Genomic DNA, 27971 nt, shown 5'->3' with positions numbered 1-27971 from the left:
AAAATCCAAACTCACTCACATTCACAGCCTCTTTCACACCAGCTATCGTCCTCTGCTTCAGTTTTTATAACCTCACCTGCAGTCTCCTGCCATGGCCACCACCTTTCAACAACTCACGCAGGCCCGTACCATCTGCAAACAAGTTTCTTTCCAGGGAGCACTCAGACCACCCACTTAGCCGAGAAATCAAGCTAAAGGGCACCTTCCAGTGTTCAGAGGCCACTACAAACCTGGAAAATTGATTTCATTCATATGCCCCCTCTCAAGAAACATGACTATATCCTCACCCCTGTTGACCACTTTCAACAGGCAGATTGAAGCCTTTCCCACCACCACCAAGAGGGCAAAAGAGGTTACCTCAATCTTCCTACAACAAATTATCCCAAGGTTTGGACTGCCCACAACCAGTCTGGGCAGAGAGTGAGCTCCTGTCTCAAAACAACAACAGCAGCCACAACAACAAAAAGATAAAAAGAATATTGTAGATAAATGGGAGAATGTGTTCTTAGAACTCACCCACTCGAAACTCAAGGACATCAAATTGACAGTCTTGGTGACTTTCTAGGTAAAAATCTTCAAAATGAATATAAATAGATGAATTTCCCTGATTTGGATTGCTGAGAGTCCATTCACAGTTTAGGTTTCTCGAGTAATTCCTGACTCCATCATAGCCAGGAGAAGTAAAGTTTCCTTCAGGAGTATTTGGAAGAGACCCACCACACACTAAGAAAACAGAAGGCAACAGAAAGTAGTAGTAAGATTCAGGCCACAACAGAAGAGATAAACAATATAGGAACAGTAACTAAAACATCAACATTACTGCTTTGATTTGTTTTTCTAGATGCAATCAGGATTATGGGTAAAAGGCATGCAAATTATGGAAGTTTCTGCAAGTTTAAAAAGGAAAAATGTGCAAAAATCAACAACTTCTCTATTTTCCTGTTGGTGTAGATCAGGTGGCTGGGGTTTGGCTCTGTATCAATTTGTCCAAATATTGAGGCCCTGTGCTCATTAATATTTAATTTAGAGGAATACCCAAATATAACGGTGGCAGGTCCTAATGGCTTGATTAGCAATTCTCCACTTGATCTAATAATTTAATTTAAATCAGACAGATAATAGGACCTTGGCCTACCAATGAATTTGCCCCCTTTTAATAAAGGAACAGATGCTTCCTGTACCAGTGAAATAACTTAGTGGGTTTTTTTAAATATTCACTCCCACTTCTAAATTTTAAAACCCTTAGATAATAGCACCAATCCAGGAAATAGGAGGATATTTATAATTAGAGGCCATATCTTGCTTAATTTTGAAATATTCTATATCAAATCAAACCTCCCATTTATTTTCACTGGAAATACGTGTGTGAATAGACGACCAGAAACAATAAAGCCTGTTCTGTCCCCAGCAAAATTAATTACTCTCCGAGACTAAGTTACCTTCTAGGAGGTAGATGGTCTCTTTCAGCACCAAATAATGGACCACGGAATATGGAACAGGTCACACCAATCCTCATGGTAACATGACTGAAACTGTGCTAGAAGCTCATCTAATGGCATTACAAGTTTTAAATTCACCATAGCAGCTTCTTCCTGAAATCAGAAAGCTTTTTTTCTGTCTGCAGTAAGTTTTTGATCTGCTTATATGTGTTTGTCTTATGTCAAAGATTCCAAGTGAACTTTGATCACTAAAGGGAAAATGGATGGCTCTGCTGCCATTGGCAGTAGCTGGGGGGCATCTGCAATGCACCTGATTAAAATGAAGTACATTTACAACATCCCACTTTATCTGCATCTTCACTGGAGGTATGAGAAGCAGTGAATCCTCCATACGGCCTAGATCCATCTGTGAAAAAAATGACTTTCATTGTGTTTCCTGAAGATTTAATCTCACTGCTTACATTCACACTACTACACAGTTTCTCTAGCTGGGGTGAGTTACTTCTAATGCCATTGAATACCTGTTGGAAAAAGAGTTTAACCTTTAGACACACAATCCATCTTACTGCATATTTCCTAGGAGGTGATATTCCCAGCCCAGACCTACTTCCTTCTATGGGAACCCTCCCCTAAAATGAATGACCTAACAATGCAGGTTTCTATCCCAGTGCCACAAGCCACTATGTTACCCTGAACACATTTTGTGACCTCAGGGTGATTTCACTAGAATGAAAGTATTGCAGTAATGCCTTCCTGCCATGTGGTCATAGATTAAAAGCTGCTATACAGTTTGGAACTGGAAACCGAGCTCCCAATGTAAAGGAGATAAGCCATCGTGCTTACAATGTGGTGTGCAGAGCTCACTGATGGGCAGTTTTTCTTAACAATGCATCAGGACTTTCGTTATTTGGAAAGGAAGCTTAAATGTTAGTTTCTGATTATTTGATGTATATAATAAAGCAGATGTTTTTGTTTATTTTAATTTTTATTTATTTATTTATTTATTTATTTATTGAGATGCAGTTTTGCTCTTGTTGCCCAGGCTGGAGTGCGATGGCATGATCTCGGCTCACTGCAACCTCTGCCTCCCAGGTTCAAGCGTTTCTCCTGCCTCACCCTCCCAAGTAGCTGGGATTGCAGGCATGCACCACTGTGCCCAGGTAATTTTGTATTTTTAGTAGAGATGGGGTTTCACCATGTTGGTCAGGCTGGTCTCGAACTCCTGACCTCAAGCTATCCACCTGCCTCGGCTTCCCAAAGTGCTGGGATTACAGGTGTGAGCCACCATGACCAGCAAGCAGATATTTTTAAATACCTTGAAAAGTAATTTGAAAAATCAATCTCCATATGCAATTAAACATAATAGTTCTTTCCTTATTAGTTATGGATTCAAAGCTTCAATTTTCTTACTCAGTTGAGTTTTTAAGAATGGATTATTATTGACTCCAAAATATTAAATAATAACTGTAGTCATTCACATAGTTACAATAATTGGCAAACATTGTTCCAATGCTGTACAAAATCAAAAAAAACATTTAGATGAAATAACTAAACAATAATTCATTGATTGAGTGATTGATATTCCAGTGTTTAAAAGGATTTGAATGACTCAAGATTAGAAATAATGACTCAGACTATGGCACTAAAAGTTATGCAGTAGGAGAATGCACTCCACAACAAAAGATGTCAGCTTTTAAAATTTACTATAATTAATTAAATTTAGCTGTCTGGAGGCTTCTGGTCTAAAGTGTCTTCCGGCTCATGGGACCAGAAGAAGAGTTTGCTATCATTTACTGAGCAGGCAAAAATGCCAGTCTTTGCTCATCATCTACTCAGTCTGTCTTATCTAATCAGCACAACACCCTCCCAGGCAGATAATAGTATCCCTGTTTTCCAGATTAAGATACCAGAATTCAGAAAGATGATGTAATTTGCTGAAGTTCAAATAATTAGTAATAATAGAACTGGGATTCAAACCATCCTTCTGATTCCAAACCATGAAGTAGTGTATAAAGAAACAGATGAGGACAAATATTTCTATAATGCTGAAAACAGGAATGGGCATCACATTGCCAAAATCAAAAGGTATTAGAACCAACTGCAAGGTTAACAGTACATGTTGGAAACCATGATCAATGGCTGTTATCCTGCCTCTGAGTCTGCCTTTGGCGTAGAATCACAATGACTGAACATGTTATAGTCATCCATTTATCACATGGACTTCTGCTGTTAGAAGCAACCAGAATGCAATTCCCATCATTGTCCTCTAATCCCTTTTGTACTCAGAAACTACAACTCTCAGAATACAAATGGATAGGCTGTAGGTACGTGAGATTTAGGACAGGCTATAAAATTTGCTATGAACGGGACAAAATCAGATATAGGTCATATTGTAGGTCACACCGGGTGGCATAGCTTTTCATTTTCTCTGTCTGTACAGAGAGTCAGATAGGCAGGTGGCTTTGGAGAAATTTTAGGCTCAGACCAGCTGGATAAGGCATTAGCCACGAAGCAGTGCAATGAAAGTTAAAGCTGCCTCTGCACCAGCAGATCTTCTTTCTTCTTTACTCTTTTTTTTTCTTCTCCTTCTTCTTTTCTCTTTCTCCCTCTCCTTCTCAGTCTCCTCTTCCTTCTCTTTCTCCTTCTTCTTCTTCCCCTTTTCTCCTTCTCCTTTTTTTCTCCTTCCCCTTCTCCCTCTGTCTCCTTCTCCCTCTCCTTCTCCCTCTTCTTCTCCTCCTTCTCATCCTGCTTCTCCTTCTTCTCCCTCTTTCATCTTTCTTCTTCCTTTTTTTGGCAAGTTCTCAATCAAATAGAGTGGGGGCAAAGGCCAACCCACATGCCCTTGTTTGGAGCAGAGTAAAGAGGAACCAAAATAAACATTGAACATATAAAAATATATTTTAGAAAAAGGAATGTGGACATTATGCTAAAGATTCAGAAAAAAATTAGTTCTTAGAGTGATTCCTTGCTGGAGTTTTAACCTCCCCAAGAGAAAAGACCTGTGGATATGAGATTTGTAGGTTTGTAGGTTTCCCTATTTAAAGAGTCAAGGCACCCTCATGCATACAGAGATGCCAGTCATCCTTTCAGTAATTCATTCTTAAATATGAATGAATAGCCAAGGATCAGCAGATATTTAGGGAAGTGACTAATGTAAAAGGCAGAGACCAATATAAGTAAACACGAGATAGGAACATGAAGAAAACTGACCCCAGATAAGCCACACAAAACTTCAAAATTATTAATATATTCATGGATATATTAATATAGTGAACATATAAAATATTTAAATATATATTTTTCGAAGAACGATGGTAAAATAAAGATAATTTCAGGTATATCATTTCTTAAAATATGTATTGCCCTTGCCCATTTCCTTGGGGAGTTACAAGAGGGTATGCCTCACAAAAGAGGAAATTAACCAAGAAAGGGATGTACATAGCAACACAAAGCCAGCTTTCTAGCCCAGGAGCAGAATGAAGGAACTTGCAAATCTGATGGCAAAGGGAAATTCTGAAATGACAGCTATCATCAGGCTTGCAGCTGATGGACAAAGGCTCAAGGAAGGATATTACTGAGGAAAAGAAATGGAACTGACATGTTTTACTACAGAAGGTTAAGATGCACACCTAGGGTGGAAAGGGTGTGGAAGAATTAGTGATCAATGCGTAAAACCCAAGAAAATGTAAAGAGGGCACAATTATTATTATTCCTTGGGAAAACAAAAGCAAATGTTGCCATAGTACACTACTTGGCTCAGTTGTGAATGGTGTTTACATAATCATGGTAATGTCAACTGAATGACAATTTCAGCAAAAGCTGTGACATATGTATTTTGGGGGACTTTTGGGAAAGTATATAAACTGTGTATACCCCATGTGCATTTGTGGTGGCAGAGGGCTAATTCTCATCTTCCAGAGTAGGATGTGGATAGATAATGTCCAAAAAAAGCAAGGAGTAGTAGAATAGGAATATTATTTAGAAATAAGGACATAAAACCCACCAGCAGTAGCTGCAAGAGTTATAAGTTGATAATTAAGGTATAGAGAGATGACAAGTAAGATCTGCTTTGGAATTTGTGGTTGTGGCTATAACTTTTATCTTTATTTGAGTTCCAAAACTATGACTGTTCGTATTCTCTTTCCTAAAGGACATGTTAATACTCTGCTTGTAAAATTCCTAATAATCATTATATTCAGTATGATTTAAACTATAAAAATAATTTCAAAGGTAAAAAACAACTGTTAGCATATATATCTAAATTTTAGTAATAGATGAGTAGAATTAAAAATATCTTTATATTTTTTATTTTCTGAACTCTCCAAATATTGCTCAATAAGCATCCATGATATTTATAACCAGAAAAATAGACTAAAATTAGAATTCAAGTGGATTTATATCACATGATTACAAGTACCTAAAATATGCTTTGCCAAGAAGAGATGAGAAAATGCATCAAAATATGGTATAGTGGGAGTGGTTAGTATTTTTTCTACTTCATCTTTCTTTATATATATTCAATCAATAATAGGAAACAAAGTTTCTTTATAATAAACAACCTTAGTCCAAAATTTCCTGGCTCTCAAATAAAAGAAAACACACTTGGTTTCTTATTTTCAAGATCTGAAAGACAATAGTTCCGTCCTTCAGATATTAGAACTTGGAAATAAAATCTGAAGGTTGAATGAGATCATTTTAGGGTGATACAAAGTGGTCATAAGTTACAAATATATTTCATATTTTTGAGATTCACCACCCAACAGGAGACAATTAAACTGAAAACAAAAGTGGCTTCTTATTAAAGGGATAATGATAGTACCTCTACTATCCATTCATTCAACAATTATTTATCTCTATTATATACAGGCATTGGGGATTCAGTGAGTCCCCAGCAGTGAATGAAACTATGGCTTGAGCTCAAGGAGCTTACATTCTAGTGGGGGAAGCAGACAATAAACTGATGAACAAATCAAAATGATGTATGGCAGCAGTTGTAAAGTGCTATAAAACAACATGGCAGAGAAGTGTCAGGCTAGGGTGGGGTCTGTAATATAAGATACTTACACCCTATGGATTAAAAGGCATTCAAGCAGAGACCTGAATGAAGTGAGGGTGTGGAGCGGGCTGCCATCTGAACAGGGGCATTCCAGATGAAGGCAACAGCTGGACAGGGAGCATCTCAGCACATTCAAGGAACGGAATGGAGGCCAGGTGCCTGGACCCCAGCGAGCAGAGAAGAGGGGAGTTTGAGATAACACAGACAGGTAGAAGAGGGAGGGGCAGCAGATAATGTTGGCCAGGTGGGCCACAGGTGCAATTTGGGATTTTCCTCTGAGTGAGATGAGAAGCCATTAGAGGATTTTCAAAGGGAGCAACATGATCTGATTGAGGTTTAAAACCATCACATGCTGCTGTGTTGAGAATGTAGGGAGATGAGAATGGAGGCAGGGGCACCAGAGGGAACTTATAAAATAATCCAAGTGAACGGTGGGGGTGGCAGTAGTAGATATAACAAGTAGTTTGTGAATATTTTTAAAGATACTTGCTTATAGATGCCATATAGGGTGTGAGAGGACTTGCTTGTAGATGCCATATAGGGTGTGAGAGGAAGTATTCCAAAATAGACATCAAGATTTTTGACCTTAGCAACCAGAAGTTTGGAATTATTTACTGAGATAGCATATACTGCAGAAGGGGCAAGTTGGGTGGAGAAATGTACTAATATTAATCCAGTCTACCTATCTACACACACATATGTATGTATAGCACTTCACAGTTAACAATCTATTTGTTATTCACACTCAGGGATCTCATTTGCTTTCTTTCACTGCAGGAAGCTGAGAGTGCTGAGGGCACATCTGAAACCACTGGAGGTTGGCGACATGGAGGTCAGGTAGTAGTGCTCTCCCACCAGGAGTCCCTCTGCACCCCTGGAAAGAGCAGTCATTATGCAGGACAACCCATCTGCTCAGAACTTTCGGTGGTGGCTTGTGCTGTGACTCTGGTCCCATTCATCTATGTGCTCCTGTAGGCTTAGCTTCCCACAGCCTCCCCGGTTTTGCCATTTGTCATTATCATTCACTCTTAAAATGTATTCTATCTATGACCCTCATGCATGGAGTGATAGCTGATAGTCTCTTAAAACAATGTTTACAATTATTTTGACAGTTTACCGTGTTTTGTTCTCTCAACAATACTTAGAATTTGTCTGAGTTATAGTTGCATAGACAGCAATTTTCCTGACCTAGTTTTCTGACTATGATTTATGGGTCAGTAAACTCCTTAAATGATGGAATATAACATCTCAGGCCACAGGGAACGCTTACTATCACATGCTCACTGTTGCAGGACAGATGCGTGGCCAGCCTCAGGTTGCTAAACGTTAGGGTGATCTGCCTTCCTTCTGGGGCGGTGATTCTCCACTCGTAGATCCGGCCATGAGGATTTAGGTTCGGGTAGTTGGGAGAAGTAGATGTTCCAGCAGAGCCCTGAGATCCCCACCACACTCTGGTGTGGGGGAAAAAAAGCCAAGAAAACTTCCAATCAAATCAAAATATCTCCTTCCATCGGGAAAGCTCTCAAAATTCAGGTATTTAAAAATTACCCTTCTAGACAAAATTATTCTCCATATTTATGTGTGTGAGGATTTTAGTGAATATATACATTCATTTCCTATCTCTATTAATATTTAACCCTGGCTTCCATGGATGATAGTCCACAGACAGCAATTTAATTATCATCATGACCCAAGAAATATAAGAGACCAATGAATATAATGAACTTAAGAATCAGGAAAATCGGGTCGGGTGTGGTGGCTCACACCTGTAATCCCAGCACTTTGAGAGCCCAAGGCGGGCAGATCACTAGGTCAGGAGTTCAAGACCAGCCTGACCAACATGGTAAAATCCCGTCTCTACTAAAAATACAAAAATTAGCCGGGCGTGGTGGCGGGCACCTATAATCCCAGCTACTCAGGAGGCTGAGGCAGGAGAATCGCTTGAACCCGGGAGGCAGAGGTTGCAGTGAGCTGACATCGCACCATTGCACTCCAGCCTGGGTGACAGAGTGAGACTCCATCTCAAAAAAAAAAAAAAAAAAAAAAGAATCAGGGCAATCAGCCAGGAGTGGTGACTCAAGCCTGTAACCCCAACACTTTGGGAGGCCAAGGCAAGACCCTATTTTTACAAAAAAAAAAAATCAGGAAAATCAGGAGGTTAATGTAAGTATCCAGTTTTTCCAAACAAGATCTTTATTTCATCTGAGTTTGTTGGATTTGCAGTAAAGCAAATTCTGAGTAACTACAGGACTTTCTTAAGGCAAGCATTGCAGTATAACTCTCATCCTCTTATTATAACTAGTTTTCCCTTATAGCATTGATCACAGCTGTAATTTTTCATTTGTCAGTGTAACTTTTTGATTAAGGTCCAAGAAGATAGAGGTCATGTTTTATTTTGCTTTTCAAACTATTGTAACACCAGTGCCTAGCATAGTGTCTGTCCAATGCAGGTGCTCAATGTTGTTTTGAATTAATCAATGAAATCACCTTCCATGCTGGATTCAAATTGCAGTCTGAATCCTGAGGCAGTCAGAGAGCCGTCTATGACAAACCTGACCACGGCAGTATTGCTAGAAGTGTCTATGCTGTCAGGAATGGTGTTTGCACAGTATCTTCCCAAGATGTTTCCTGTGAGAGACAAATAATTAAATATATATGTCCAGGTGATTGATTTCTTTTAACCTCTATTCGAGGTGTCCTGCGTATACAAAGAAAATAATAAAAAACAAGACCTTGCCCATGAAGAAAAGTTACTCTCTGTCAAGAAAACAGGAAAACATGAATGAAAATTAACATGTTCAAATATATGAAGAAGTGAAAAAAATGCAACCAGTTAGGGGAAGGATATCTCAGGACAATGAGGAAGGCTTGCTTATCTGGTTGAAAAAGTGGTCTGAGACAAACAGAGTGACAAATATCTGCCTTATGCTACTGCCAGGAGACATGCATGACCCTCTGTCTGCCTCAAGCTATAGAACACCCCTCAAATAATGGCATGTGGCAATGGGATGCCTCAGCAGCAACAGGTTGCCTTCCCACTACCATTGCTCTCCCCAGGTGGCCTCCAGGGTAGGCTATATGACACCTGGGCTCTGGACATCCATTGTAATGGTAGAATTGAGGTAGAGAATCACTGGTACTGCCCAAAGCTCATTAATCTGCACTTCTCTGCAGAGTATAGACATGCTTTTGCCTTTCTCGGAAGTGCAGAAACTTCAGAGGCTGAATAAGTACATGCGAAAATAAACACCCCAAAGAGAGCAGATATATTTCACTAACCAGAAGTATGATAGTCCCAGATCTCCACAAAGTCTTTTTCACAGCCAGAGGAATTCTGAAGGTTAAAATCTTCGAAAGAGTTGGTGAGATAGTGTCTGGAGAGCCCCTGGAGATGCCACTCACAGAATAAGTTGTCTCTATATGGAAGCGTTAGATGGCCAATGCTTTCAACAACACCACTTTGCCCTGTTACTCTTCCCCCCACACTGAGCTGGAAAAAGAAAGAAAGAAAGAAAAAGAAAAGAAAGAAAAGAAAGAAAAAGAAAGAAAGAAAGAAAGAAACACAGAAAGAAAGAAAGAAAGATTCTATTACAAATTTTGTTTTTTTTTTTTTTTCATTTCACCAGCACATGTGAAAACTTAGGTGCCAAGTGACTATGAATTGAAGTTTTTAAAATTCTGAAAATGGTTAGTGCTTTCCTCATTATTTGAATTCTAGGGTTGATATAAACAGAAATGATACCACAAGTCCAATCCAATAATGGGAAACAAGATGACGGCCAAATGGCATATTCTGTAATGTCACATTAATTCTTTTGGGACACTATATAAGAGCTATTAGTTGCAAGCAAGTTTCATCTCAAGAACAAACTGGTAGACTCATCTGACCTGCCTAGAACCCTGTGTTGATTCTAAAGACTGAACCCAAGCTTAGCTGGAAGGGGGGACACCTGCCATTTCTAGTTTTACTATCAATTAAACTGTTCACTACAATAACTGATATCTCAAGGCCTTGAAAATTACTATTCAATTATGTCTTATTAGCTGGATGTGATAGCTAATTGAATTATATGCAGCTTGACTCGGGATATAACATGATCTATGGTGTAGCTAAATATTGTTACAACTAGGCTTTCTGAACTTTTGCTATATTAAATATTTGTTTGGTTTGTGTCTAGACCTATTAGATACTAAATTCTGTGCTATTGTGACCATACTATAGTGAATCTTCAACAAGCAAAGTTACTGCTCAATTTTTAAATAAGGAAATCAAAATCCTGAAGAGATATATTTGCTTTTTATCCAGTGACTGATTTGGCACTAGAGACTCAGAGAAAAAAAAAAAGCTTAATTATTTTATATATGATGAGGAATTCAAAGACATTGTTCTAAATATAGTTATCTGGTTCTTAAATAGTTGTATTACTTAAAGTAATAAACACACTGTAGTTCTTCCTTTTCCTTGGGGGATACATTCCAAGTCCCCCAGTGAGTGCCTAAAACCTCAGATATTACCAAACCCTATATAGACATATAGACGATTTTTTTCTATATATATGTGCCTATGATAAAGTTTACTTTGTAAATTAAACATAGTAAGAGATTAACAACAATAACTAATAATAAAATAGAACAATCATAACAATATACTGTAAGAAAAGTTACGTAAATGTGGTCTCTCAAAATATCTTGGTGTACTGTACTCACCTATTTTTTGGGCCTCTGTTTACCAAGTGCATTGAAACCATGGAACATGAAACCATGGATAAGAGAGAACTACTGAATTTCATAGTAAGCAGGAGAAACAGGAGTTTGATTTAACTACACATATTTCTTCCCAGATAAGTTAGAAAAAATATAAAATATTCAGGTTTACTAAGATTACATTTTAAAATAAAAATTAAAAGAGAAATTAAAGTTGATGACTGTGGTTTTAAACATTTACACTCCTTATTTCTAGCATTAAAATATTTTTAAAATTAGGCAGATAGAATGACTTCTTTTTAAAAAGTCATGGTTTAAAAAAAAGTTTTAACATATTCATTCTATAACCACTCTTTTATTTAACATAAAAATGTTTTCCAGGGTTCTTATAGTTTTATGTTTTACAGTTACGTCTTTAATCCATCTTGAATTGATTTTTGTATATGGTATAAGGAAGGGGTCCAGTTTCAATCTTCCACATATTGCTAGCCAGTTCTCCCAGCATCATTTATTGGATAGGGAGTCTTTTCCCCATTGCTTGCTTTTGTCAGCTTTGTTGAAGATCAGATGCCTGTAGGTGTGAGGCCCTATTTCTGAGCTCTCTATTCCATTTTATTGGTCTATGTGTCTATTTTTGTACCAGTACCATGCTGTTTTCGTTACTGTACCCCTGTAGTATAGTTTCAAGTCAGGTATTGTGATGGCTCCAGCTTTGTTCTTTTAGTTTAGGACTGCCTTGGTTATTTGGGTTTTTCTGGGGTCCATAGGAGTTTTAAAATAGTTTTTTTCTAGTTCTGTGAAGAATGTCATGGTAGTTTGATAGGAATAGCATTGAATCTGTAAATTTGGGGGGGCAGTATGGCCATTTTAATGATATTGATTCTTCCGATCTATGAGCATGGGATGTTGTTTTCATTTGATAGGGTGGAGGGTGGGAGAAGAGAGAGGAGCAGAAAAAATAACTATTAGATACTAGGCTTAGTACCTGGGTGATGAAATAATCTTTATAACCAGCCCCATGGCACAAGTTTACCTATATAACAAACCTGCACATGTACCCCTGAACCTAAAATAAAAGTTAAAAAATATATATAATCTATAGAATACTTGACCTTGAATCCCATATGATTGGGGCTGTTGTCAGATCGAAATCTCAAATACATAACCTCTCCTAAGGACCACTGACTGCTGGGCAAAGATGTCCCACAAAATTTGGAAAGTATTGGTGCATCTGAATCCACTCCATCCCACAACTAGAGGTAGTTAGAAGTACAGTTAAAGCGGAAACAAAATTATGTTAAATTTACATGGTCAATTGCCTTGACTTATTTTGATAATGACAACTTCACTTACTTTCTTTGACGATATTATTAAATCATCATTTCTTAGCATAAAAGACTATGATAGAATCAGCGTAAGCCACGTGTCACATTAAAATGCTGTATGACATTTTTCATAGTAATACATTCTTTCATTAGCAGCTCAAAAAGACAGGGTTTACATGTCCTACATTGAAGAATATTTACTTCCCTTCCATATTCTGTATTGCTTTTACAAATATAAATGTTGTTTTCAAATTAATCCCTACGAATTTCAAAAAACAACGAGTATTTTGTTCCACACAGTGATTTGATACATTTCACATGACAAAGATAAATTCTCTAACAGCTCTGTAATTGGGACTAACGGAGAGTCCCAACCGGAATTTTCTGTGTCCGTAAAAGTAGACAAGCATGTATCTAGCGTTTCTCGAGGAAGTTACATCAGCTAATTAATGCTCCATGAGTGGAAGAGTAGTATTAAATCCAGTGCCAGAAATAGCAACAAAAGCTCTTATATCTAAGTTTTGCACCACAGCTGCATTCATGCAAACGTATACACACTTTGTTAAAGGAAAGAGAAAAACAGTTTTTTTACAATCTATATAGTTTTCCTTTCTCTTCAATATAGTAAGAGTTACTCTCTGTTTTGTAATACTTTCAGAACTCTTATTAAATAAAGACTGGGAAATTATACTGTAAGTGCTTTAGTACTGTTCTGACACTGGTGACCCCTGGTGACATACCACACAAATTCCCATTTGTTAAACAGACATTTTATCATTTGTGACACTGAATACGAGGCTGGGCAAATAAATATTCATCTCTCAGAAACACGATATATTTCCTGTGGGAGGAAGAATGGATAAACATCAATCTCAAGTAGCCACCCTCAGCGTCCCTTGCAGGAAGTGTCTAGGTTCACAAAGGACAGTACCCATGTACATAACCTGCTCAGCTGATGAGAGAGTTGCTGGCAGACTGTTTTCAGGCCTGAGTTATTAAGCATTTCCCTTTTTCCCTAGATTTGCTTGCAGTATGTGCTACTGAAAGAAATGAATTGTTCTGAGACATGACAGTTAAAAAATACTAACTTCGGGTAGGAAAAAAATGAAAATGGAAGTGACATACTTGGGTGTTACTTCAATATCGAATTGACCTTCAAATTGCAGCCGTATGCGTGTTTCCGGTGGAACCGCTAAGATCCAAATGCAATCAGCGTGCAGGGGGATAATTATCAGGGTGGCTGGGGGAGGTCACATACCCAGCAGAATCAGCTTCATGGATGTAGATGTTGCCCCCACAGGCTGTCAGCAAACACAGTTAAATCAGTCTACGATCTGGTGAAGGAGATGCATTTAATGGACACAAATCATCTTTTAAAGTCGAATTCTCTGTAACTTGTCTCAATTTCCTTTCATCTGTTATGATCCTCATTTTTTTCCCAGCAAATGAATTCTCTATTTGCTATGGAGGGAGCTACCAGGTGTGACACTTTTTAATTTGCCAGACCATCTATCTATTCTCATTGGAAATTTCATTCTTTCTTAAAACCAACCAAATGATTATGGCACATGTGCATGGGGCAGAACATCACAGAAGCATGAATAAATATCCAGCACTTCGATAAGCATGTAAGTATGCTAGCAGTTACCGCTTCCCACTGAGCGTTCAGTACAGCAGAATGATGCAGAGCTATGATCTTGGTATATTTAAAAGACTAAGCAGATATATCTTTGCACAACTCTGGGAGCATTCATTCATTACATTTCTTCGGGATTTAGATGCATTTGAGAAACAAGATCAATGGCATCAGACAATTTATTAGCCATGTTTTGCCAGAAGATAAAGGAGCTTTTTAATACTTCTTTTCTAAAAAAAAACAAAGTATTATCAAAAAATACTTTTCTATTATCAATAAATATTCTTTGGCATTTTCAACAAACAAACCAGACAGGAGTAAATGTACTTACAATGCCAGTGAAATTAACCTGTCCAATCACTTAGCCACACAGATACTTGATCTGCTCAACTCTAGCAACATTTATGTCCACTGTCACTCATCCACTTACAGTCACATCCTGAATTCTGTCAATACCTCCAACTCCCCCATCTCTGAAACTCTAAATTGCAAATCCCTTTGATGACCTCCAGCTCCCTTGCTTCATGTCTTTCCTTCAGACTTCCCTTGCAAAATACCAACTCCGTGGTTGTGTTCAAGTCAATCCATTCATTCATGGAAACTGATGCCTCTGCAAATATACGTTCTCCCATCTCAACACTGCGAAGCAATTCACCCATTTCTTTTCATATAAACTACAACAGCCTTTTGTAACTTTACTCCATAAACCCTTGACTTTCCCCAATTCCTTTTGGTTCTCAGCACACTACATTAGGCTCCACTTTACAAAGAAAATAGAAGAAATTACATAATAATCCCTTCCATTTTTTAGCCTTCATTTGTTACTATCCTTAATAAATTCATCCACATCTCTACACTCTATTTTCTCCTCTGTATATTATCTTCCTGTATCTCTGGATCAAGTTCCCATCCTATTGTCTCCTCCGGGATCCTGGTCTATTTAATCTCTCTGTCTGTCTGTCTGTCTCTCTCTTTCTCTCTTTTCGCCCTTCTTTCTTCAACCCTATGAAAGCACTCATGTTCTCCCAAGTCACCTCGCAGTTATATGCCCAAATGACTTTTTAAATTATTATTTTATATCCACAGCATTTAACATTGTTGATCACGTTGTCTTTCTTTACATTTTTGTCGCTTGGCTTCTGTGACACCAAGCTCTTCTCCTCCTTTTACTCCTCGCATCATTCTGCCTCTGGTTCTTGGGCGCCTCTCTTCAGGGCTTCCCTGACATTGCTGAAGGCCCTCAGGAATCCTCCTGTAGGCCTTTCTTCTCACTCTAAATAATTCCCCAATTGCTGTTATACATCCTAATGACTTAAACTGTAAGCAGTCTATTGATAATTCCAAATTCTGGATAATTCAAATTCTGTTGATATTTACAGATTCAGTCTAGACCCCTGTTCTGTCCTCCAAACTCCTGTTCCGACCACTTACTGGGCATCTCCAATGGGGGTAATTCAGAAGTTTCAAACTGAAGATGTCTCAAATGAACACTCTCATTTGCTCATCATCCAGAGTTCCATACCTGAGTCTGCTGATGACAGCATCAGCCCCTCTTCCTATGGACACTCTGTATCCACCCTTACTGCCTTATTTTTCTCCTGGATACCTTTCACCATATGGCATGTTATATATTTTACTTATTTATTGTCTACGTCTTAACACTAGGATTAGGCTCCATGAGGACATGGATTTTGTTTGTTTACTGCTATATCCCCGGGACCTAATACAGTGTCTGTCCCATGGAAAGTTCTTAATAAATGTCTGTGGGATGAATGGATCCACCCAGCCAAAAACCTAACAACTGCTCCTAAGGCTCCTCCCATCCCTTCCCTCCTGCCTCACATCCAGCTGACCTCCAAATTCACTCCATCCCGTGTTGATAATATATTTGATATGCCCTCTCTCCTACTTTCTTACTGGCATTGCCTTAGTTCAGGGAGTAATATTTTTTCCTAAATTACTCTTTCATCTGGTCTCTCTCTCTTTAGTCTTCCCTGCCTCCAATGTTTTCAGTGTTGCAGCCACATTAGTGTTTTTAATCTGATCACACTGTTCAGGCTTTGGAGTAAAATCTTCCAATGCCTCCCATTACTTTTTGATTAACATCTAACTAACTTACGGTGGCATCCATGGCCCTGAGCACAGTGATTCCTGCCTGCTTCATCACTATTATGTTTACCTCTTTTTGACTCTATTCCAAAGCAGTGGTGAATTCTTTCAAATTATTAAATATGACTTTTAACATTGAGACTTTCTATGCACTCACATCTTTTTATCACTGATTGGCAAATCTCTTCATCTACTTCCTCTGGAGCCCTCTCTGATGTCCTGGGCTGAAGTAGGTGTTTCTGTTCTGTACGTAGCGCTTATTATACCATATACCATATACCATGTTCTTTTTTTTTTTTTTTTTTTTTTGAGACAGGGTCTTGCTCTGTCACCCAGGCTGGAGTGCCATGGTATGATCATGGCTCACTGCAGCCTCAATTGCCCGGGCTCAAGTGATCCTCCCAACTCAGCTTACTGAGTAGCTGGCACCACAGAAGTGTGCCACCATGCCCAGCTACTTTAAAAAATTTTTTGGTAGAGACAAGGTCTTTCTGTGTTGCCCAGGTTGGTCTCAAACTCCTAAGCTTAAGTGATCCTCCTGCCTTGGCTTCCTGAAGTGCTGGGATTACAGGCATGAACCACCGTGTCCAGCCCTACATCATGTTCTAACTGTGCCTTTGCTTGTCTGTCTCGTCTACCAAGCTGTGAACTCCTTGCCAGAACTCTAGTAGTTTTCATGATGTGAAACACTTTGTAAATGTTTGATTGATTAATTAATAGGCCTATTAATCTGGTGAGAATAAAAGGCATCTACCACAGGATCCTAGAAATCTCAATCAACCATAGCGAAGGAGTGTCTCTGGAGAAAAACGGTATAAAACTAGGTGATTCAGTGTCGAAAGATGTTCACAAAAGGACCTATGTTAAAGGCTGAGAAATAGGAGTGGCATGGAAGTAGATATGGTGGGAAGATAGCCAGATAGATGTGGGAAGTAGAAGGCTGACTATAGTTATGGAACATGATTGAGTTGGTAAGTAGAGAGAAATAAGAGTGATGCTGTTGTTTCAGGTTGCCAACAATAGGTTGTGAAATCAAAATACTTTTGTTTAAGTCTGATGTTAACGGCAGTCATAACAAGCTTCAAGAAAGATAGGGAGAAAGCAACAGCCATGACCATACTTGCATGAACAGTGAGTCCACAAAGAAATAGAAGAGGTGCAATGTCAAATAGTGTATCTGAATTACCATTAAATGTTGACTTTAAAAATTTAAATCAAGACTAAGTCTATTGGCTGGGCACAATGGCTCACTCCAGTAATCACAGCACTTTGGGAGGCTGAGGCAGCTGGCTTACCTGAGCTCAGGAGTTCAAGACTAGCCTGGGCAACATGATGAAACCCCATCTCTACCAAAAATACAAAAATTAGCTGGGCGTGATGATACATACCTGTAATCCCAGCTTCTAGGGAGGCTGAGTAAGGAGAATCACTTGAGCCTGGGAGGCAGAGGTTGCAGTGAGCTGAGATTGCACCACTGCACTCCAGCCTGGGTGACAGAGCAAGACCCTGTCTCAAGAAAGAAAAAAAGACTGAGTTTATCATAAATAAAAATAGAAAAGTAGAGTCCTATAGGATGGGCTGACATCTACTCACTAGACTCAAGACACTGCTACTCTTGAAATGCTTTGGTACCAGGTGAAAACCTGCCAATTCATGACTCAGCTGCAAAGCTCAGCATGGAGAGAGGGAGGGATGAGAAGGTCCCAGCCTAGAAAGCCATAGTGCAGATGCCCACAGAGCTGCATTAAAGCTCCCTCCTTGTGCCACAGCTCTGTGCACTGGGAAGTGACCAAAGCCCCTTCTCTGGTGTTTTGGACCTTACTCCAGCTATTCGATTATTTTTGTGTGTCAGTTGGTAAACACTCTTACTCATTTCTTTTAGCAAAATGAAGAAATGATGTTGACTTTAAATTTCATACAATGTGCAATAAAACATGATTTCACTGATATATATATATATATATAAATGCATTTAGGAATCTGGGATACAAGTAATAGGATCATTTTGAAATCTATATTATCTAACTTCTGGTGGGACAGAGCAAAAATTTATTATTATATTGCTTTCTACTGACATTACTCCGTTTTTTGGAAGTGATGCCTATTTATTTATTTATTTATTTATTCAATTAAACATTACTAAAAAGTAAATGTCCCCAAAATCAAATCATTACAGTAAAATTAAATGCAATTATAATCAAGTGTAATTAAGTACAAGCAATTAAGTAAAGATCTTAGGTAATATATAATTAAATCAGTAATAATAGAATCAAAAGATTATGTATTCTTTTAAAAACAGCATACACATTATTACAAAATAGGGCAAATGTAATTCTTATAATGTTTCTATAACTAGATTTAACTTACAATTAGACATCTTATAATGGAAAGGTCTAAGGAATTTCAGGGATCAAGAAGAATAGCGTATCTTATACTCATGGAACATTTCACTTTGGTCACTAATTAGATATGTGGCCTTGGAAAAGTCCAAGCCTCATTTTACTTATCTTTAAAATCGAAATAATGATACTTTACTTGAAAAGTAGTCACGATGAGATATTGAATGTATCAAACATAATAAGTACTTGAGAGTAGGCATTCTTATTAATTCTATTACTGTTAGTTCAGAAAAGAAAACTTTATATGTTTTTTCTCAAATCTATTTAATCAAAGAAGACCAAGCAATTGCAGGAAAAGTATATATAATTCTCAGTGAAAATACTTACGTAAACTCTTTTCCCCATATTTGATCTGAAATCCTTGCCCTTCATTACTCTAATCAGAAATAAACTGAACAAACATTTGATTATCCGAGGTGAACAGAGTCGATGAAGCACGACTGCCACAAAAATGAACATTTCCTCCACAGGGTCCGAAGGGTGGAGGATAGATATCAGGACCATTTCTTAGCTGGAAAGACAAATTAAAATTGCATCAACTCCTTTACATTGCAAAAGAAAGAGTACATAATTCTTATCCATTTATGTCCCAGGAGAGAAAAATTATCATTTTGTTTTCTGAATGAAGTCTATGGAAAACGTAATTAGAAAGGGTAGCAAGCAAGACCTACCACCAAGTAATCCCCCTGGTTGCAAGAAGAATCTCGGAAAGGCTGTTCAAAATGGACAGCAATGGTCAGGCCACTTTGGACCAGGACGTGCCAAGAACAGTTGAGGTTGGATGGGTAGGTCTCCGGATACTTGGGGGACGTAATGATCCCGTGTCTGCATGCAAATATCCGCCGCAGCCTTCCCACAAAGAAACAAAGGTAGATTATTTAAATAGGATTGGCAACTGGATTTTTATGCTTTCTTAGTTTTCTTGGGGGGTTTTCAAAGTGTAGGCAATAAAAATTCTTGAAAATAAAGCCAGAGTGTAGGAAATGATTAGTATAACAAGCATGTATTGAGCATATGCTATTGGCTACTCAGTTTGTGGTGGTTGACTGAGATATGGGATATAGAGGTAAGTAATGAAGACAAATTACCTACTTTCATAAAGATTTCTTTATAGATGGGGAAGACATAAAATAAACAAATACATAATATGTGAGATGGTGATAAATTCTATAAAGAAAAATGGACGGGAGGAGGGAGAAGGGTACTTTATTGTCAGAGTTAAGTTGGAAAAGCCACGTCATTGGAGTAACATCTTAGCAGAGACATTAATGAAATAAAAGAATCAAGCCAGATGGATATGTGGGAGAAAACATTCCAGTTCAGAAAACAGTTAGTGTAAAGGCTTGATGTGGTAGAGGTACATCATGGAAGTCAGAATGGATGAGGCAGAATGAGAGATTCCAAAGGTAGCAGCATGTCTAGGTCATGCTGGAAACTGAAAAGACTTACTCTGAGTAAGAAGAGGAAGACAAAGTGTTTTGGGCCTCAGAATGGCATGATCTCACTTACATTTGAAAATATCACTCTATGTGCAGTCCTTAAACTGTAAGGAGTGGAGGGCAGCAAAGGGCAGGAGCAGAGTGTCCAATAAAAAGGGGACTGCCTGAGGCCAAGGAGAGATGATAGGCGCATGGGCTAGGCTGGTAGCAACAGAAATGGAGGGGCGTGGTTGAAATCTAGATACATTGTGAGGGTAGAGCCAGTGTGATTTGTTGATGGTTAAGTATGAGACCAACAGAAACATCAAAAATAACATCAAGATTTTTGCCTTAAATAATGAGAAAAATGTACTTTCCATTTGCTAACATTGTGAGGAGTGTAGAACTGGGGGCGGGGGTAGTGGCATGGAAAAGGGTGGGAATTAAGTGTTCAGTTTTCAAAGGTTAATTTTTTTTGTTATGAATTATCTATCTATCTATCTATCTATCCATCTATCTATCTATCTATCTAATTGGGGTACAAGTGGTTTTTGGTTACACGGATGAATTGCATACTGGTGAAGTCTCAGGTTTTAGTGCACTAGTTACCTGACTAGTATACATTACACCCAACATATAGTTTTTTATCTCTCATACCCCACCCATCCTCCTTGCTTATGAGTCTCCAAAGTCCATTATATCACAGGTTAAATTTGAAATATATTCTAGACCATGAGCTGCCATGTATATATATATATATACACACACATATATACACACACACACTCATAGATACACACACATATTTATATATATTATATACATACATACACACACATATATACACACATACAAATAAATTACAATGGTTCTACCATCACTATATACATATACATATGTATGTATGTATAATGAACTGCCATACATATTAATATATACATGAGAGTGAGAGGGCAGGAGATGAAGGAAGAGGATGAAAGGAGCAGGCATTAATTCTCCAGTTTTCAGGGACTAGAAGCTCATCAGCAAGGAAAGGTAGACAGCTCACAGAGCTAGTTAAATTGCAGAGGTGAAAATTTATCTTAGGTCTAATTCCAAAGCCCATGCTCTTAAGCCACTATGCAGCCTTCCTCTGTTGAGCGTGAGGAACACAATTTATCGTCAGTTGCTCCCTACTTTATAAAAGGTATATATAAGCATGGAGGAAATATTAGATTAATTTTTAATGTTAGATTGAGAATCTACTTTAAAATTATGTTTTACAGTTAAAAACATGGGAGTCTTTCACTCTTCCATGGACTACTTTATTACTTTTCATTTGATTTGGATTTAAGGCTGTTACTGGACTTCACATGTCAAGTTTTAAAAGTCTCAATCATATTGTGCATGATGGCATCCCATATATGGTGCCTGTTTTTGACTCATCAAGTTCATATTTCAAGAGCAACAAACTCTTCCTGCCAACCCTCAAATGGATGACTTTAACCAAGTAATTTATAAGGATAAATGATGATGTTTTGCTCCTTCGATGAGTTATGGATATGAGCTGTGCTCTAGTTCCAGCCCTTAGTTAGGCTGAAAAATTGCTTTAAAGCTCTCTCTCATGCATTCCATGGACACACCTCCTCTGGAGTGAAGATGCCCCACCCAGAGACCTTAAGGCAGGACACTTTTGTACTACTTGGCCACAGTGCTTTGGATCAGGACTCAGCATTGACATAAGGGGAGCCAGCCATCCAGAACCTGGGCAGAGACCCATGTCCTCTGACTTGCCTTGCGTCCTGGTGCCCAGAAAACTATATTAAGAAGAGAGAAAGAGAGAGGAAAGGAGAGGAGATGGGATAACATGGGATTAAAAAAATATTTAAACTCATTACTCTTGTGAAAGGATGCATTGAAGCCTGCCCTGGTTACACTGGAGTCCAAGGTGAAGCGGATGAATGTGTACTCTCAGTAGACCGGATGGGCCCAGGGATCTCTCTGCCACAGAGAACTGCTAGCTGCTGGGCCAAGTCATTGTCTCCTACATTGAAAGAAAGGAAACAGCATGAAAATACAGTCCTGAGAATCTACTCTACCATCATTTGCAACTTAGCCAAGCAGCTCACACATTTTTTTCAGAACATCAGGATTCATAGGAGATAATGGGATTCTCAAAAAGGAGGACCCATCAGGGGTGATATCATTTTGGCTCCAGCTTGCAATGGTGCTACCTGTCCTTGCAATGGTGCTGCCTGTCCTTTTCTTTACCACCCTGCCTTTTTTTTTTTTTTTTTTTTTTTGTGAGATGAAGTCTCCCTCTGTTGCCCAGCTTGCCCAGGCTGGTCTCGAACTCCAGAGCACCCGCCTCGGCCTCCCAGAGTGCTAGGATTCCAGACATGAGCCACTGTGCCTGCCCCGAGACCTCAGTATTTTTTAAGGAGCACTTCTGAGTTCTTCCACATTGGCCACTGACAAATTGCACACGGTGAGAATCTGGGTTTTAACATTCAATGCATTGAATAGCATTGAATCTGTAAATCTGGGGGAGAAGTATGGCCATTTTAATAATATTGATTCTTCCTATCTATGAGCATGGAATGTTCTTTTCATTTAATAGGGTGGAGGGTGGCAGAAGGGAGAGGAGCAGAAATCACTGGCAATTGGGCATGTGTTGCTATTTTTGTCTTTAGTGAGTGAGCTCCTGAGATTGTCCCATGGGAGGATCTGTTGACCCAGGGACCCAGAACCAGTGCAACCCAAGGCCAGCGGGTGAAGTTGAAGAAGTGTCCGCCCGATGGCATCTTATCTATTCTCAGCTTGTAGACTGTGGCCACCCCCTTGCCCCCATTCTCTTTGTTCTCGGCCCCACCAACCAAAATGTACCTGTTCCAGAATCCTTTTTCTTGAGGTCCTGTACTGTGCTAAGTGGCAGCTAGCTAACATGCTAATTCCTCCACAGTATATTTTTAAATGGAACCACCCCAATCGTGAGAACTTCAGAACGGTGGCAGGCTGTGGAGAAAATAAGATGGGGGAGTGTAAGTCTGTCACTTTCCAACTCCTAGTTAGCCCATGTGCACGGCTGATCCTGAAAAAGATTTCTTTTGCTATTGATGATAGAATGTCTATCAAACAGAATTGATGTAATAGCAAAATATTATACATAGATTTTCAGTTGATGCACTCTCTCCTAAATAACTTGGTGTGTGTGTACATGTGAGTGTATGTACAGGATGTTAGAGGAGATACACTAAGAAGTGCGATACTTAGGTACATACATTCTTCTAGAGCATCTCTTCTCTTTTTTTATGTTTTTATTTTTTAGAGATAGTGTCTTTATCACCCAGGCTGGAGTGCAGTGGCATGATCCTAGCCCACTGTAACCTGAAACTCCTGGGCTCAAGCAAGCCTCCTAGATGGATGTGCACCACCACGCCTGGCTAATTTGCCCAGGCTGGACTCGATCTCCTGGGCTCAAGTGATCCTCCTTCTTCGGCCTCCCAAAGTATTGGAATTACAGGCCACTGTGAGCCACTGTGCCTGGCCTTCTTAACTTTTCTTAAGTCACTGACTTTTTTAAATAATAGAGTGAAAACTACAACCCTGATCCATAGAGAAGTGCACGTGATGGTTCTAATTTCAGCAGGCTTATGGATCCCATTGTGTTCATCCATGAATTTTTTAGAGGTCTACGTAGCTCAGATTTAGAAACTCCAGAGTTGGGTGAAGATAACACTAGTATGTTTGTACGCAGTGTGGACATAGTGATGCTATTTTTTTTTTTTTTTTTGAGACAGGGTCTCACTCTGTCATCCAGGTTGGAATGCAGTGGCATGATTTCGGCTCACTGCAACCTCCGTCTCCCAGGTTCAAGTGATTCTTCTGCCTCAGCCTCCCTAGTAGCTGGGACTACAGGCATGCATCACCATGCCCAGCTAGTTTTTGTTTTTGGTAGAGACGGCTTTCACCATGTTGGCCAGGCTGGTCTTGAACTCCTGGCCTCAAGCTATCTATCTGCCTTGGCCTAGTGATGCTATTTCTTAAAGGAGATGCTTCTTGGAAATTTGTTTAAAACTTTAGATAATTTTTAATGCATCACAGAACTCATTCTTAATGGCTTCTTAAAAATTGTTGATAAGTGCCACCTTATTTATCTGCTTAAATTTACATTTGGTTAAATAAGAATTTGTAATCTTTAGCTCCCAGGCTTGAATGGAACATGGTGTGGACACATGCAGATACTTTTAAATGGAATACCTTTCCCATTTCCATTTTTCGCTTTCTTCGTCAGTCAGCCTCATAGGCCAAAACCACTTGAATACAATTGATAACCAGTTAACAAACTAATGGACCTTGCATTTTGCTGTTTTCAGTCTGAACCCTCTTTTGTCTAATTTTTTGCTATTTCTTTAGCTTCTTTTCCCCTGCCTATATATTTTTTGTTCTAGTTACCTGTTTTTTTCTAAAATCTTAAGTTCCTACCCCTCTCTCTGAATTTTGCTCATCCTTCAGAAAGTTGAGATGAATGCTCATCTTTCTCTGTGAAGCCCTCCTTTTCATCCAACTGAACCAGCAATGTGTGGAAAGAAATACAAGGTACCCCACAGCCTGGGGACCATCAAGAACAACACCTATGTAATAACTTCAGCAGGAGATGAAAGGGAAAAGAGCAAATTTGTTGAACCCCCACTCTATATCACGTGGAGGAAACAGGTGTAAAGTGGTTAAGTGACCAGAACGAGGGAACGACAGAGCTTTCTGCATGGCTTCCAAGTGGCTGCTCCACCATGTCCCCTGCTGTCTCTGCAAGTGATGTGTGTGTGCACTTGTGCACTTGAGATGCCCCATCAGGTCAATCTAGGAACGCCATGGACAAAGTGTTCCTGTGGCTCTGGATCCTTACTCATTCCATTAGAAGAACAGGGACATTTCCTAAGGTTAAAAGCCATAGCTGTGTTAGTTCAAAGGGGAAGATCAAAGCTCCCATGTGGATTTGGTGGATTTTCCCAGCCCTGGGCCTCTTCCTTTCCCTCCCATTCCTGCCCTCCTCATGCAGTGACCCTAAAGATAAGGTCCAGTAGGAAAAGAAGCAGTCCAGTTTTGGCCTCTTGCTGGATTAATTCCTTTTTTTTTTTTTTTTTTTTTTGAGACAGGGCCTTACTTTGTTGCCCAGGCTGGAGTGCAGTGGTGCAATCTCGGCTCACTGCAGCCTTAACCTCCAGGTTCAAGTGATCTTTCCACCTTAGGCTCCTGAGTAGCTGGGACTACAGGCATGCACCACCATGCCAAGCTAATTTTTTGTAGAGGTGGGGTTTTGCCCTGTTGCCCAGGCTGGTCTGAAACTCCTGGGCTCAAGCAACCCACCCATCTCAGCTTCCCAAAGTGCTGGGATTACAAGTGTGAGCCACTGCACCCAGCCTAGATTAATTCTTAATTGTAAAAGAAGACAGAAACTAATGACAAAACATGCTTTTTATGTGTGCGTGTAAGAGAGTGCAAGATAGAATGTGACTTGCTTACTGTCTACCTCGTAATGTTAATAATCGAGGCTTACATATAGATATACATTCATATATATTATACATAATAAAGACATGTACTCATATAAAAGAGCCTAGATCACTCCTTTTATAACACTGAGCTTGTTATTCTCCATTGATGGGTTGAAGTTTTTTTTCATATTCTCTTTCTCTCTCTTCCCGGTGTTTTGGAATTTCCTGGGCATTTTTCCTACCCTTCCTTTTCTTACCCTTCGCTGGATGTCACTTCCTCCCCAGGCCACTGAATGCCATTGAATGCCACTTCCTTTCCTCTCAGCGCTGCTTCTCCCTCCCAGCTCCCCAATTAAAGCTCTTTATTCATGTATGGCTTTGCTGGAGGGGTAGCGCATCAGAACTGGAGTGCAATTTAGAAGCGGTGTTCCTGCAAGAATTCAGAGTTCATATGTCCTCCTGAAGATGCTTTGGAAGTTAACACAAGATTCAGAAATTAACTAATTTTTATATGCTCAGAGGAGAAGAAATCTATGCTTGTCAGTTTTTTAGGAGATTTGTTTGGTTATGCATACACCTTTTTATAGCTCAGGAACATATATTTTTGCACGTTTGGCTTTATACACTAAAATCTACCTTATTACTTGCTTATACCTTTTTTCTCTAATTTTCATGCAATTCATTTTCACATTGCTGCTGAAAGAGTAGGACCATTGTGTTGCAGTGAGTTAAGCCAGGGACATTTTTGTTTACTAAATAACTTAGGCTATAGAATCCTGAGGCGGCTCATAATAGCATAGAGTGAGCATGTGCTTTCGGGGCACAGGTTCTCAGTAAATACTTGTTGTTTATTAACTGAAAGTAGCATTGCCTTTGTTATTTATAAAACTAATAATATTTGGAGAACTTTGTTATTTATAAAGCTAATAATATTTGTTGGCCTTTCTTGGGGTAGATGCTTCGATATTTTGCTATTTTATGTTTACCTTGAGGAACATGTAGAACCTTTTAAATGAGAATTTGTTTCACTGTTTCATAAACTTTAAATAACCTAGAACTACTGTAATTCACTGCTTTAATAGCTGCTTTGGGTGAAATTCCGTAAAATCTGTGAAGCCAGTTATCATTAGTATACTTTCGAATTTCAAACTCTTATGGTAATATGTAATAAGTTCATTATCCACCTTGTGTTTTTGGCCAGAAAACAAAGGTAATTAATCACTATGACTACAAATGACCTTTTTTTGCATATAAAGTGCTTAGGAGGACTTGAAGGTAATTAATCAGTATAACTACAAATGACCTTTTTTGCATATAAAGTGCTGAATAGTTTAATTATTCCTACGCGAGAGTGAGAAGATTCTTCTTTATGTAAAATCATTAAAATGGCATCGAGAACTATGATTTGCTGAAAGACTTGGCATGTCTATAATTAGTCTAGACACCACCTTTGTGCTGTGAATGGACTAATGTTCTCCAGTTATTATGGCTAGAGATTAAAAAGCCTGTGCTTTCACTTTGACCACGGATGCCCCAAGTCATATTTCATCACGTTTCTGCTAATTTGTTTTTTTTCTCCCTTGCTTCATTCAGGCCAAAGAGGGGCACTTGTTTTTCAGTATCATATTCATCAAATGCTGGGGCAAGGAAATGTTTACTTTCACCATTTTCTCATAAGTGGTCCTTCCCTCTCCCGTATATATAATGAATAATCTCACTCATTTTCATCTATTCTCAGGTTTTTAGTGGTTTTTCTAGTAACTTAATTGTAGTAATGTAACATACTAAGTTATCTAAGTGACAAGCTCATTTTAATATCCTCTACCATCCTCTATCCTTCTATGCTTTATTTTAAAAAGCTGTAGAAATATACGACATTGTGAACATCTGACCAGGCATTTTCATTTGTTACGGCAACAGACAAAAACCTCCTTTTTTTAAAATAGCAGTATGTCAGGTTTTTAGAAGCAATGCTACTCAGCTTCATTTTGCTGTGACTCATTCCATGTGGTTTCTTTGGGGACCCTTTGGCCTGAGGGTAGGTGGCATTTTTGCATCCTGGAAATGGGCACAGCACAGTATGTTGCCTCCATTGCAGCACAAGGGCGGGCATGCCCCTGTGCCACCTGCTGTCCTAGCCCTGGCTGTGAGCAATTGCCTGCCCTAAGTCCTCCTCTTCATTCCCTTGCTGTAATTCACCATCCATCACTGGAAGCAGAGGTTCAGACATCAGTTCACTTTTTTCAAAGAGGCTTTGTCCCCTGGCTTTCATGCTCTGGGCCAGCCCTAGCTCAGGAATCACTAGCTCTAAAAACATCCTTTGGTGCTTCTGCAAAAACAGTTGGGTGTAGTGCAGCCCCCAACTCCCCAGAAGTTTGGTGGAGATGGTGGGTGGAGGTCACCGCCAGATT

The 27971-nt window shown here is 39.1% G+C and overlaps 2 pseudogenes across 1 annotated transcript in view, besides 1 other annotated feature; one reads left to right on the top strand and one right to left on the bottom strand.

Moving 5' to 3' along the window:
* RSU1P2 (Ras suppressor protein 1 pseudogene 2) overlaps nt 1-27971 on the top strand; it is a 55121-nt pseudogene that overhangs the window by 5170 nt on the left and 21980 nt on the right. Inside the window, exons 3-5 of the transcript NR_024472.1 lie at nt 2482-2599; nt 7273-7332; nt 23028-23106. The product of NR_024472.1 is annotated as a Ras suppressor protein 1 pseudogene 2 (transcript). The remainder of the gene's footprint in view (nt 1-2481; nt 2600-7272; nt 7333-23027; nt 23107-27971) is intronic.
* Nucleotides 513-22110, bottom strand: CUBNP3 (cubilin pseudogene 3; annotated as a pseudogene).
* Nucleotides 14580-14780: a silencer, noted in NCBI's record as "peak939 fragment used in MPRA reporter construct". NCBI's record gives its function as "represses an SCP1 promoter by STARR-seq MPRAs in K562 erythroleukemia cells {active_cell/tissue: K562}" and the evidence as "EXISTENCE:reporter gene assay evidence [ECO:0000049][PMID:32103011]".

This window comes from Homo sapiens, chromosome 10 (genome assembly GCF_000001405.40).
Source record: "Homo sapiens chromosome 10, GRCh38.p14 Primary Assembly".
Classification (NCBI taxonomy): domain Eukaryota; kingdom Metazoa; phylum Chordata; class Mammalia; order Primates; family Hominidae; genus Homo; species Homo sapiens.
The sequence above is the reverse complement of the archived record's forward strand: the minus strand, read 5'-3'. Positions and strand labels throughout refer to the sequence as shown.